The following is a 14926-nucleotide window of genomic DNA, read 5'->3' on the forward strand; positions in this document are numbered from 1 at the left end:
TATACATTGCTATACCTGATTCCTTTCTTGAGCTCCTTCTCTCCGTGATTTCCCCCTGCTCTCCAGCTCCCATGAGCCCCCTTTCTTTGCCATCTGCCTAGAAAGCAGGAGTATTAGCACCATACTCCATCCCCTCACCCCCTGCCATAACCTTAATGTTACAAATTTCTTGTGACTGAGTCCAACTCCAGGGAAAAGTGGTGAGAAGAAAGAGAAGAAAAAATGTAATAGGTATTCCTCTACACTTTTCAGACCACAGAGGCTCCTGTACTCAGTTCCGCTGGTCATGAAGTATTTTTTTAGAGTTTTAGATGTCTTTGTGGCCACTGCTGCTACTATCACCACTGCTGCAAGACTGCAGCGTCAGCACTGAGGTTTACCTCAGGGCAGGGTCGAGGGAAGGAAAGAAAGTGGACTTCCCCGGACTCTCCGTCTTACAAGCCTTATCTTTCCACATCCTCAGACCAAAAAGAGTTTATCCAAGAGTTTTTGTTTGTTTTGTTCTGTTTTGTTGTTGTTGTTTCTGTTGGCATTTGCTATACAGTTTTAGGATTCTGGCTGTTCTAAGTTTAAGCCAGGAAAGGAAGGAGGAAAATAAACAACAGGACATTTGCCGCTATATTGTTCTTTCTTCAAGTTTTCATTTCCCTCCACAAGCTTCCTGCTATTGTTTAACCTTCAGAGCTCTCATATATTTCATTTATGTATTTTTGTCAGTTATAATGAATGGGAGAGAAAGGATAAGATGTAGTTACCCCATAATAACTTGGACTGCAAGTCTTATAGAGAATTAAAAATAATAGCAGTAAGACTGACTAAAAGATAGTCTGATTTTTTTTTTTTTATTATCACTGTACACATGTAATTTTAAACACCATCAGTGAGCAGACATCTCCCACTGCCCTGCCCTTGGTAAATCACTGATATGGGGAAATTGGGAGCCGGGAGTAATAGGAAATAGGGCTAAAGAGTCAGCTATGTTTGTCATGGGTTATTAAAGAACTTAATAAGGACGGTGTCCTTCATTCTGGAGTTCTAAATATGCATTGGATACTGAGCGTATTGTTTTAATAGACCCTGTGCATAAAAGCATAGATGAAGAATTAACATTGACCTAGTAAATTATAAATTTATTGAGAGTGAGGAACATATCAGCTTTATTTTTGTGCATTTATTCATTCAACAACTATATATTGTGTATAACTATATGCTACAGATACAGAAATACTATCTCTCTTTAATGGACCTTTACTCTGAAGGGAGAGAGAGATAAATAACCCATCCATTTTAATATAATGTAATAAGTGTTACCATTTTTAAAAAGCACCAAGTAGTTAAGATGTACAGTGAATTGGGGATGGGGGTGCTATCCCAGGGGATGTGCAGAGGTTACAGAAGGATTCTTATACGAGCTGAACTTAAGCTGTAACCTGAAAGAAAGAAGGCGACAACCTGAAAAATAGAGTGTTTCCAGGTGGTAGTATGACAAAAGATAAGATGACGTTCTTCTAGAATTATGAGTTGTTTCCGTTAGATCTGAACCACATGTGGGAAAATGTGAGGAAGAAATGATAAGGAAATAGAGGCATTAGATCACAATGGGCCGTATAGGAATTTATGCTGTGTTTGGGATGATGGTATCGTATGGCCTGGTATGTGAGTATGGATCAGATGTTGACGCCTACCTAATATTATTATTGAATAAAAATTAAAATAGATAATATTTGTAAATAAGTTTTATAAATGTGAAAGTCCAGCAGACCCCTCCAGTTGTCCCTAAAGTATCAGGTGATAGAAGTGTCAGTGAACAGAAGAGGATGGATTCAAGATATACTTTAGAGGTAGAATTAATAAGACTTGGTGATGGATTTGATATTGGATTCAGGAAGCGTTAAGTACTGAGTATGACTTCTACATTTTTTTTTGAGAAATGTGACTGGTAAAGGTGCCATTTATGAATAAGAGAAAAACTGAAGGAGAAGAAAATTTGAAGGAAGATAAATCTAGAAGAATTTCATGTCGGACATGTCAAATGTGGGATGCCTATGAGACTTCCATGTGACCATGGAATTGCCTATGGAAGTGTAGGGTTCATGGAAGAGAAATAGGGTGAAGATATAAATGTGTGAGTTATTGCCATAAACCTGAATGTTCAAAGCCACAGAATAAATGATATTGCCTGGGAAATCATTGTACAGTGAGACAAGAATACCTAGAACCTAGCCCTGAGGAGAAGCCAGGAAAGGAGATTTTGAAGGACTATCCAGAGAGGTGGTTGGGCAGTTAGGAGATTATGACATTATAGAAGCCAAGAAAAGCTCATTTAAAGGAGTGAGTTGTCAGCTATGTATATTGCTGCTGAGAAGTCTTTTAAGAAAATGCTAAGATGTGTGCCATGAATTTGGACACATGGAAGTCATTCAGTGACTTTGGAATGGGTAGGTTCGGTGGAGAGGTGTGAACAGAAGCTGGATTGGACTGGTTGAAGTGTGAATATGAGGGGAAGAATCTGAGACAGCACATTTGGACAACTGTTCTGAGAAGCTTGACTGTGAAAAGAGGCTGTGGAGCCTGGGGTCAGTGGAAAACAGTGGTGTTAAGGCAGACATTAGAAGGTGTGAAAACAACCATGAAAATGATCCAGTACAGCAAAAGCAGGTGAAGATTGAGGAGAAAGTCCAGGTAGCTGATGAAGGGAATTCCTTGAAAAAGTGAGAAAGAAACAAATGCATAGAACAAAAGGAGGAATTGGTTTTTTGATAGCGGGAAGGGAAGACATTTGTTAGACAGTTACTGTAAAGTATGAATAGAAGTGAAGGGGTTGAGGATATTTCCCCATGAGAGTTGCAGTGATGGGTCATGAAATCTAAGTTTTCTAAAATGTAGGAGATAATGAGATGGCAAGCACAAATGTTGGTCTGTACATTTGATCATGAGAAAATGAGTCTGTCTGACGGCTTCTCTATTCTCCCTCCTCCGGCCCCTCCCCCACCTCAGTGGAGCAGGAGACAGGATCCTCAGCAGAGGACAGCGTGGATGGAGGGAGAGGGTGGTGAGGCACTGAGAAGTTGGAAGAGCATGAAGAAGGGGAAAAATGAACCTTGAGAGTGCTCAAGTGTCCATGGCAGTTATGAGTGCCTGCTTGAGACAGGCACGTATGAGTGTACGGAGAAGCCAGTTTGTTTTTTTGATGTTCCTACAGCAGACACAGAGGAGACAGACATTTAGATTCATCTAGGATGGGGTTTTGCCAGGCTAGTGGAACAAGGGAGGGAGGCGAAGGAGTTGAGAGTATTTTCCAGGGAGAGAGAACAATGATGCGTTATAAAATATAAATTTTATCAAAAGGGATGTAAAAGTAAAAAAAAAAAAAAAAAAAAAAAAAACTAAAAAATGTTGGATCGGGGGATTTAAATCCCTAGTGAAGAAAAATAATTGTTCCCTCAAGCGACTGAACAAAGATTTTAAAAAGGTAGGAAGTTATGGACAGAGTGAGATGCTTAAATTAATGCCTTCAGAGGTGGTTCAGTTTCTGACAAGTTTTAGGTGTGAATGTGGAGTAGGTCACAGAAGACAGCAGAGCAAAAAGTCATGGAGGTAAGATCAAGAATATGAGGGGCCGGTTTTTGACGGATTGTACTTCTGGACGAGGAGGTCACAGAGAATAGTGGTAGGAGTGAGGATGCAGATGGAGACTCTAAGAAGCAAAGGTTTTTATTGAATAGAAAAAAATAATAACCAGGAAGTCAGTAGAGAACAGAAATGTGATGGAAGAGGAAGAGGCAGGGGTGTAATTATTTAGATAATATGAGCCTTAAAGATGTAAGGTTTGAAAAAGATGGAGCAAGCTCAGAAGTTTAACTGGAAAACAAAGACACCAACCAACAAAAAAATATGTGCGGTATTTAAAAATTGGGTAGCCCCCACTTGACAGGACACGTCTCCAGGAGAGCCCATGTCCCCGCCTGAGTATGAGAGTGAGGTGGAGGCATCTCTCCAAGAATTGGATGCTGTCAGGGAGCGTTGATGATGCAGGAGAGGTTCCTGAGTGCAGAATGGAAGGACTGCAAAAGGGTGGGGAGGATGTGGAGTGCAGTCCGATGAAGGGTTATATGAAACAGCGGGTGTGAGACTACAGGAAATCATAGATGACTGGAGATTTACGCGTCTACAGGAGAGGTCAGCAAACTACAGCCTATGGGCCAGATTCAGCCTGCAGCCTCTTTTCTGAATGGCCTGAAATGTAAGGTTTTTTTTTTTTCTTTTTACATTTTTAAATAATTGAGTATCAATCAAAAGGAGAATACTATGTTGTAACACATTAGGATTGTATGAAACCACAATTTCATTGTCCAAAAGTAAAGTTTTTTTGGAGTGAAGCCACACTCACTGATTTATGTATTGTCTATGACTGCTTTTGTGCTACAGTGGCAAGTTTAACAGTTGCTCTAGAGGCCGCTCAGCCTGCAAAGCCTAAAACATGTATTATACTAGTTGGTCTTTTATAGAAAACGTTGGCTGACCCTATTTTACAGAATTGGTTATGGAAGTCTCCTGGAGACGAGTGGTAACTGGAGCTGATACCAGGGTCTTCAAAGCACCATGGGATGCTACAGTGGTGTGCAGGCTAGCTGTCCCCACAGGCATCATAGGAAAGCATGGTTAAGGCTAACACCTCCCGAAGGTGTCACTATGACTTCGAGCTTTAATGAGAACACGGTAGTCACAGGAGCAAGCTTCTGATTTACCTAAGCAACTGAATAATTACCTTCAGCAATCATGTGTGTTCTGGTTACTTTCTCTGTTTGACGTGCAATTTTATCATCTGCTTGTGCTCTCTGGCTCTCTCACACTCCCCTCGCCTTCCCCTCCCCTCATTCCTTCATCCCAGTTTTTTATCAGCTGCTAACTCCATTGGTTAATGCATGAGCTCCTGTCTGCTCTTGTACTGTACCATGGAAGGTGCCATTCAAGTCTTAGAGTGGAAATTCGTCTTCTGAAGTTGAGATTTAGAACTGAAATAAAAAATAACTTAAAACTCATCAGTTAAGGTTGCTAGTTTTTTCACGCCAAGATCCAGTAAAATGTTCCTTTATTTTCCCTTGGAATTATCGGGAAGGAGGAGTTACTGGGGTTGAAGAAGTCTAGAGGAATGGGAATTAATGCAACTTACATCGAGCAGTTGAGGACAGGAGGAGGCAGGAAGGACAGCACTGTCAATGGCAGGCAAAGCCCTTAGTCCTGAGACCAAGCAGGTGCAGGAAAGTCACAGGAGCATGTTGAGGCTCATTTTGTAGTGATGGCAGCAGTTTTTTCCTTGCCTGTCCCAGGAAGGTAGAGAGTTTAATCTCACTCCTTGCAATCATTCCACTACTAATTACAGACAGACAGAGCTGAATGGCCAGGCTGATTCCACTAAGAAAAAATTCAACCTAATTGATGATGACATAAGAAAGCTCTCTGAGACCATTTTTATTAGGGCACACTGCATGCCAAGGAAGCAGGGACATTGGCTATAAGAGCTTTTAACTAAGAATATTTGTGAAGGTGGCCAAACCTGGCTCTTCTCTTATTAATTCCAGGCCTAGCTTGATGAAGGCTCTTTTAGTTCCCCTTAAGAAATATGGAATAAAATTATTTAGCCTTAGGAGATTTTAAGACATCTCTTCATGAATCCAGCCCTCTCTCTCTCTCTCTGTCTCTCTCACACACACAAACACACACACACACAGACACACACGAGAAAGAAAAACCTTAAAAAATATACCCACTGTTTTCTTAAAGGTCATCAAAGGGTGTTCTGAATCATTGATATGATTAACAATTGATATGATATAACGATATCATAATGAATTATGATAGGCTAGAACAGCCATCAAAAGTCTAGTCAGCTAGTTTATTCATTCAACCTTTGCCCACATGATCATGTGGCCCCTTCTACGTGCTAAACCTGCTATAGATATTGGAGATGTAGAGGTGCATAACAGAGTCACTGCTCTCTTGGAAATTAGAGTCCAGTGGGGTAAACATATATAAATAAATAACAATACCGTGTGATTAGCAATGCTAGAGAAACAAATAAACAATAATAAACTAGGTGGGGAGGAGGCCCGGAAGTTTGAATGTGACGAAAGGGTTCCCAGAGCAGTGATTGCTGGGATAGTTTTGAAGGCTGCATAGACATTTGAAGGTGGACAAAAGAGAAGACAAACAGGCACAGATCAATACAATGCCTCGTGTTTTAGGAACTTCACTGGTGTGTCCAGTGGGTGTAGGGGGAAGTGAGATGGCAATAAAGAACCCAGAGATGTAGGCAAGAGCCAGCTCATGGGAACCTTCACATTCCATGCCACGGAGCAATGTGGAGCAGTGGTAGGATTTAAGCAGAGGTGGGACTGACTCTTATTTTTGGCAATTATTTTGGCAATAAAGAAAAGAATAAATGGGAGGCGTGGAGACTCATAAAGAGGATATTGTAATAATCCAGAGTAGATAATGAGGGCCTGAATTAAGACAGTAACAATGATGAGGAAAAGAAGAGAATGGATTTGGAAGCTGTAAAGTGAGTGGAAACAGCAGGGTTTGTTGATTGAAGGTGAGGAATAAGGGAAAGAGAGCAAGCAATGTAACTCACTTTTATCTTACGAGAATGGGGATTCGACAATGCTGCCAAGAGAGATCAGATGCAGGAGTTAAGAGCAGATGTAAGGGCAAGGTGGTGAATTCAGCCTGCGGTGTCTGGGAAGCATACAGAGTAGGCATTTCACAGGCAGTTATGGGCCTGGAGCTCAGCAGGTCCTCCAGGACGGCCATGCAGATGTGGAGATCATGAGCACAGCTGGCCATCTACAGTGCTGAGATGGCATTTAAAAGAATAGGTTTACCTGGGGAGGGGGTAGAAGTAGTAGAGGAGTGGGCCTTATGTGATGCTGTTATTTAGGGATTGAATGTCCCAAACTTTTCCTATAGTTTGTTCCTTCTAACATTTTTAAAATTATTTCCCACGTGTTAATCATTCTTCCATATGTTTGCACAACTTCTCTCATATAATTTTCAGACCCAATATATGAGTATTTGAGTCATAAATAAACAGCCACATTTTACTAAGGAGGGAACTGAGGCCCAGTTATTTCCTCAAGGCTACCAGTTCCTAAGAGACGTCGCCATACTGAGGATTCAGGAGTTCTGTGTTTGTCTGCTTGTTTTAATACATTGCATTCTACCCAAGACCCAGGTGTGTGTGTGCCTATATTTAGATTTTATGTGAAGTGAAGTAGAAAGGCACAGTAGTAGTGTGCCCAGTGAAAGAGTAAATCGGCTATTCTTTTCCTTCCCATACACCGTCTTTTTATAGATTTCATGTAGGTGAAAATTCCACCTGGCAGTGGAATGCTAAGAACAGAGGGGCAAGGCATTCAAAAGTAAGTGGGCAGAGCCCATGCACGTGTTTCCAGCAGGATGATTTGGCCTACCTGCTGGAAAGTAGCTATGGTGCAGAATAGATTTTGAGAAATGTTTATAAAGACTCATTTTTTTCCAGTCAAAGGCTTTAATTAAATGTTACAAATACAAGGGCTTTCAGTCATGTCTCCCTTTCTCCTGAGGCCCAAACAATCCTACTCCAATAGGCTTCCTGCTCTTCTGTAGAATTGTGCTGTGGTTTCCCAAGTTATTCCCTTCTGCACATGGGCTGGTGTCTGCCCTCTCCATGCCAATTGAAAATACACAGATGGCACTTCCATCTTGAGTATTCCTGGCACCTTGTAGTTTTCTCCCAGAATCTGATCTGAATTTATTCATTAGATTGTCTTAACTATAGATTTGACCCCACCCCAGGTTTTCTGCTCCCTCTGTCCCCCAAGTGGTCCCCTTGTCATTGAGGTTTTGCTTGATACCATCACTAATAAATGGGATTCTTCAGGAAAGCCTGCGTTTTGCTCTGCATCTGAGGATGCTGCTTGCAAAGGGAAAGCCTGGCTTCCCTCCTCCTTCTATGTGCAAGAAGCCTCTAGTTCATCAGCCAGTGGGCATGGGCCTCTGCAGGAATGGGCAGAGCCCTGCATCCTCCGTGCATTTCAACTTAGCTTTGGTGGGAAAAGACTTTCCCCCATTTAGTGAAAAAAGAACTCCCCAGATCGATATATCTATTCTTCAAAAGGATTATTTATAAGTTATTTCACTTCCCATCCTCCACAAAATATTTAATGAAACATACGTAAGGCTCTGCTTCCCCGTGGAGTGATGTTCTTTTGCCTATCATCATCTACATTTTTGCGGGCTTTTTCTTGGCAGACATGTGAGTTGACATGGATTTGGTTCTGCACCATCACTAGGGGATGATCCAGAGGATCATAGCAAGGGGGTACCAAGCCGTGTGTGTCCTGGGCTCCTTTTACATCCTTTTCAGAGAGCTGTAGAATCTCTTCTTAAGGAAAACACACACCAATGCACGTATGCATAATATTATTTCCTGGTATTCAAAACCCCTGAGGTTAACAGTTCCACAATTCTCAGATTAAGAACCCCTGCCCTACAAAATGTATTGATGGCTAAATCATAGGCTGCCCTGCTTCCCAAGGCTGTTGGGATCCAGGTAGTGAAGGTGACTTCTTATCTGATCCTGAGCACAATGGTGTCAGGAGAACCTTAACCCTTTAGGAGCCTCTTAAGTCAATAGAATTCCCTTAAATTAATCTGGGTGAGGAATTGAAAGCAATTAACTCCTTCAAAGTTATCAGCACTCAGTACTGGCTTATATCTCCAGTGATTTAGAAAAAGGGAAAGCAAACAGCCAAGATACTGAGGCAATATGACATTGCGGAGTGCTATATTTATCCCCTATCAATGTCTTTCAGATCAAATTGGCTGAGTTTACAAATCAAAAGCTGATTTATTTTTTTATTTTTATTTTTTTAGCAGCCATCAGCTGCACTACTGCAAATACACAGTTCCCAGACATCAAGCTGCAAACTCTAAACACCCAGCTGTGTGCTTTCTGACTTTGATATCATCACGCGTAATAGAGGGTCTGCATGCAGATTTGAGCTGACAGGCCTCCTGAGAAGGCTCACAGCAGAAGAGCACCCAACTCCAGGGCCAGCCCAGCTTCTGAAGCCACATCTGCAAAGAAAACCCACGTCATGTTGTTATGGGAAGGGATGGGCCTCAGAAATGCACAGGGCCTGGCTCTGTGGAGTACAAAGGGTTCACTTTCTTATAATTACACTTTAAGTTGAAGCTTCTCTTTAATATGAAGCTAATTATTATTCCCAGATTTCCCTATCAAAAAAAAATTAAGGGAATTTGTTTCTACGTATCTATAAAATGTTATAGTTGATATATGCGTAGCTATGCATATTCAACCATATACACATATTCAGTTCCAACTATCAAATGAGTTCTTAATATGTGTCAGGATCTATGATAAATGTTTTGTTGATATTGATAGACACATATATGTGTGTATACACACACACACACACACGAAATTTATAGTTGGCACCAGTTTGTATAATATTTTTATTGAATCTATATTTATTGCTTTATGAAAAAATCTGGTTAATAAATTAATTTAAGAACTATTCATGGCCAGGTGCGGTGGCTCACGCCTGTAATCCCAGAACTTTGGGAGGCCAAGAAGGGTGGATCATGAGGTCAGGAGGTCGAGACCATCCTGGCTAACACAATGAAACCCCGTCTCTACTGAAAATAAAAAAAATTAGCTGGGCGTGGTGGCAGGCGCCTGTAGTCCCAGCTACTCAGGAGGCTGAGGCAGGAGAATATTGTGAATCCAGGAGGCAGAACTTGCAGTGAGCTGAGATTGCGCCACTGCACTCCAGCCTGGGTGACAGAGCGAGACTCTGTCTCAAAAAAACAAAACAAAACAAAACAAAAAATACTATTCATTTGCATTTCTAGCTTATGCAAAGGGTATAGTGAACATGGAAGTTGTTTGAGGAAGGGAACATGGTGCAAAAGAAGGTATGGCAAGGTGGAGGAGCCCAGGAAGAAGCAGTTTCTGTGTATCCAACAGAAAGGGTATCCTGAGAGAAAGGAGGAGATAAGTTTCCCAGGTATAAAAGAAGTTCAGGTGAAGTAAATAGGAATCTGAGCTGACAAAGAGGCAATGTCGTGGGGTTGTTGCCATATGCATACTCTACGACTTACGCACAGCTCACAAGCGGCCAGCATGGGCCTATTTAAGAATGCTTTCTCTTATATGATGGGAACCACCTATTTAGAACAATTCAGCTGTCCCATTTCCCAGAGTTGGGCTCTATGTTTGTTATCAACTGTGTGAGGTCTGTCCTGCAGTGTTACAACAGGCAAACGTAGGTTTGAGCCCTTCAGAACTTTTCCTATGAAACATCTTTTAAATTTGCCCATTTTTGGCAAGATCATCAGATTCTCTTTTCCGCCAGCCATGCTACCTGTATCCAAAGGAAATGTCAAGGAACTATGTGTAATATATATGTACGTATATTACATATATATATAGATATAAAATATATTTATATCCTTTTATTTTTAGTTCTGAAACCAGAGACATTTTTTAAGCTCTCAGCAGTTCTTACCTGGGCTATGCAGCTATACCTGCTTTTTTAAAATAAATGATCATGAGAAATTATATTTATTATCAATCACATCCTGTTTTAAGTCAAGAGAGTAGAGTTTTCTAGTTAAAGGATATGTGGTGAATCCTTTGTAAGATTTATTATTATTAAGTTCCTACTGGCAAAGCAGAGGTCTGATTATTATTTCATTTCTGAGTTGAGATGTTCTTGTATCAAGGATCATGTGTATTAAAAATGTGATAAAGCCTAATTAGGGTTGCAGTAAAAATAAAGATCATGATAGCTACGATTTCCTGAGAGCTTCCTATATGCTAAGTACTTTACTCATATTTAGTCATTTAATGCTCACAATAATACTATAAGGTAATCTTATGTTCTCCATTTTACAGAAGAGGAATCTGAAGTGCACAGAACTGAACTGTCAGATAATACTGTCTATAGGGCTCGAGTGCAGAAATACTAGAGCTCATCACTGCCCCCACAGTGCAGCCGGGGGAAGTGGTGCTTACAGCTGCTATCAACTCTTCAACCATTGCTCCAGCCTAGTATCAGGCCTACAGAAGCTATCCTATGCAGATCATTCGACATGAATGTCACATTGTGGAAACACTTTTTAACACTGATGGTTTCACCCTGTTGCAGCGGATATTGCTGTGTGGGTTATGTGGGTAGCTCCCATGTCCCCAGCCTTGTCTAGCTTAGCGGCACAGATTTGCATTAATTCCATATTACTGTGCCTCTCAGCACCCATCTGCCTGCCTGGGACCCTCCGTTTACCTCAGAACTGGCTCTGGTATTTCTTGGAGTCCCTGTTACGTGCTTAAATACAAGTCTTCTTGTGCCACCCCCTTTGACAGTCTCTCACATGGCCTCTGCTGCCACTTGGAGTGGGGCTGTTTTTGAGCCTTATTGTTCTATGCTTTCCAGCTCCCAGGACTGCACTGATTCCTCAAGGGGGACCTGGTGTGAAGAAGGCCTTCCCCAGTTCATCAGCAGGCCTTGACACCAGAACTCACAGTGGCACCATACACCTCTGTATTAGTCTGTTCTCACACTGCTATAAGGACATACCCAAGACTGGATAATTTATAAAGAAAAGAGGTTTAATCGACTCACAGTTCCTCAGGGCTGGGGAGGCCTCAGGAACTTACAATCAGGGCAGAAGGGGAAATAAACACGTCCTTCTTCACAAGGCAGCAGGAAGAAGAGTGAGTGCCCAGCGAAGTGGGAAGCTCCTTATAAAACCATCAGATCTTGTGAGAACTAACTCACTATCATGAGAACGGGATGGGGGAAACCACTCCCATGATTCAATTATCTCCACCTGGTCCCTCCCATGACATGTGGGGATTATGGGAACTACAATGCAAGATGAGATTTGGGTAGGGACACAGCCAAACCTCTAAAGTCTTTCATGAAAACAGCTTCTTTCCTTTCTGGCCAAGCCCACTTTCTTCATGAGACCTCAAAATCAGTTCCTGGGGCTTGCACATGTTGGTATTGAGGAAGAGGAGTCTCACCTCTGTCTGTCTTATCTCCCAGCATCTGAGCAAAACCATGCCTTCATCCAGTCAAAACAGAAAACCTTGAATGTTCATCAGCCATCATAATGGCACTGGGGGAATACAACTGTCCTTGAGGTCAGCCTGGGTTTAACAGGAACACCTGATGCAACCTGAGATGGTGGAGAGAGCAGAGGCTGCAGAGCTGGTGCAGGACTGGAATGTCACTGCTAGTCATGGGATATGGGCTAAATTTTAAAAATGATTCCTTCCAACTCTCCAATTCTGGGATTCTATGTTCTGTATCTTTTTCAATTTCTGACGTCCAAAGATTGTATCTCAGCTGGTATATATGCCATAAAAATATTAAGCAAGGAGGCAGCTGTGTCCTCTCCTCTCCAGTAGCTACAGCTGTACTCCTGACAAGCTTATTCTTGGGTATGATAAAAATGATCACTGTGGGTATTATTATTTTCAGTTATAAAGATTTTTAATGCCCAATCTATGAAGTCAGAAATGTGGGATTTTCTTTTCCAAAGGGATGTTATGCACACAAGACAGTCTCTGTCATTCGATTAGTTGTAAATGCTAAGCTCAGCACTTTGGACAACACCAAAACCCCTGTGGGGATTTGGGGGCAGGTGTGATCACATATCCAGCTTGCTTCATTTCCCTGCTTCGGTTGTCGTATTCCACTTAATGAAATAGCTGTATTTCCAAAAAGTTGGCTGTAAAACAAATTTCTGTTAGATAAATCATACTTCTTCATTGATCTACACTTTTAAATTAAGGATGCCTTCTCCTGAGGAAATAATTGGCCCCAAAACTAAATATAAATTATACTACACACTCGATAAACCTTTTAAAATCACATATTTAAAGAAAATCTTTTCTGTTAGAACACTAATAGTGATGATATTTCCTAAAGTCAGGAAATACAATGATCATGCTAAGAACTACGACTGTACATGGTGTTCTTTTGGGATTGGGGCCACAGGAGGGTTAGGTGAGCAACAAGGGGTCTCTGACTTTTTTTCATTGAATTCAACGTGTTGTTCTGGGTCTGTCAGCCAGAAGTTAGTCAATAAGAAGTTGGCAAATTTTAAAATTATGTAAACTGGTTTCCTAGCTGTCTTGAGAGCCAGAGATGTCCAAGAACCTGGTTTCTGCTGTCAAAGGCCTTCAATCGCATTGGAAAAAGAAGCCCCCTGTGTGCAGCACAAGACAGCTACTCAAAAACTTGATTACAGTTGCAGGAGCAGTGGATTGGACATCAGGAGGCCTGGTGTGCTCCATCACTGACCAGATGTGTGCCCACAGACTCCTCTAAGCTTCAGTTTCCCACAAGAAAAATACGAGGCTTGAGCGAAATCACTAGTTCCCAAACTTGCCTATTTGTGAGAATTTCCTAGGAAGATTATGCAAGCACCTCATCCCAGGAGATTCTGGTTTAGTGGGTATGAGTGGGACCTAGAATTCTATATTTTAAGCAACTACTCTAGTGAATTCTACTGCAGACAGACTATGTACTAGCAGAGCAACTATGGAATTATATAACCATTCATGTCCCCTTAAGCTCTTTAATTCTGTTATGATTTTAAAGACTAGATGAACTGAATGTGCAACAATAGTGCAGAACAGCCAGAGGCACCAAGAGTTAGGAGACAAAAGGGAATGTATTAGTGTCCCAGGACTACTGTGACAAGGCACAAAAAACTGGGTGCTTTACAACAAGAAAACTGTACAGTGCTGGAGGCTAGAAGTCAAAATCAAGTGATTGGTTGGACCATGCTCTCTCTGACAGTGACAGGGGAGAACCCTCCCTCGCCTCTCCTGGCTTCTGGTATGCACCAGCAATTCCTGGCGTTCCTTGGCTCCTAGAAGCATCACTCCTATCACATGGTCATCTTCACCCTGTGTGTCTTCACACTACCCTTTCTCTGTGCATGTCTGCCCGAATCCCTTTTTATAAGGACACCAGTCAGATTAGATTAGGGTCTACCATAATACCTCATTTTAACTTAATTACCTTTGTAAAGACCTTTTTCCAAATATAGTCACTCTCTGAGGTACTGATGGTTAGGATCTCAACATACCTTTTTTGGGAGGACACAATTGAACCCATAATAGGGTGTTTGCAAGGAAGAGTTAAAATTTGAAAGAAAGGTGGTATTTGCTTAGATAGATAGGGCACAGCTTTCTAGGTGACAAAAAAAAAAAAAAAAAAACAATCTGTGAAGAACAAATCATCATGTTGGTCCAGGATGAGAACTAGCATGGCCTGGCAGGAGAGCTGCAGCAGTGGCAGTGGTGGCGTGGTATACCAGTTGTTTAGACTAAGTTCTACAGAGGGCTTCTCCTGGGCCCCTCAGTGTCCCCACTGCACTCCACGTGTTGTCTTTCACAGCAACCCTAGAAGTAGGTAACGTTATTCTGATTGTGCAGATGAAGATATGGTGGTACAGGGGAGTTAGGTGACCTACCCCATCATGAAACTAGAGGGTAGAGAATTGGTTTCTTCTGATCCCAAACTTTTGCCTCTTAGGACGATGATCTGTTGCCTTCTTCATAGCACTTGTGCAAAATAAACTTGGGTGAATAGATCAGGGCTACTTTGTGGAGGGCTTTGATAATAAGGGAGTAGAGTTTGTGTTTGATGTGACAGAAAAATAAGGAGCCATTTCTAGTGTCTGAAGAAGTGGACCATGATGAAGGGGTATTTCAGGAAGATGAGTGTGTTATTTCCACCTGAGGATGCATTTTCTTTACAGAAAGAAAAAGCAGACTTATAATGAGAAGCTGTTGACCGTGAAGTTTCTTTTCATAGGGTTATATCAAGTGGTTTGCCTC

At 41.6% G+C, this 14926-nt stretch overlaps 1 protein-coding gene across 45 annotated transcripts in view, besides 1 other annotated feature; it reads left to right on the plus strand.

Annotated features, from left to right (window-relative positions):
* NTM (neurotrimin) overlaps nt 1-14926 on the plus strand; it is a 966208-nt gene that overhangs the window by 918813 nt on the left and 32469 nt on the right. The gene's annotated exons all lie outside the window — the stretch shown is intronic.
* Nucleotides 10978-11057: an enhancer, noted in NCBI's record as "active region_5764". NCBI's record gives its function as "activates an Ori minimal core promoter by ATAC-STARR-seq in GM12878 lymphoblastoid cells {active_cell/tissue: GM12878}" and the evidence as "EXISTENCE:reporter gene assay evidence [ECO:0000049][PMID:35858748]".

The sequence above is a fragment of the Homo sapiens genome, chromosome 11 (assembly GCF_000001405.40).
Source record: "Homo sapiens chromosome 11, GRCh38.p14 Primary Assembly".
Classification (NCBI taxonomy): Eukaryota; Metazoa; Chordata; class Mammalia; order Primates; family Hominidae; genus Homo; species Homo sapiens.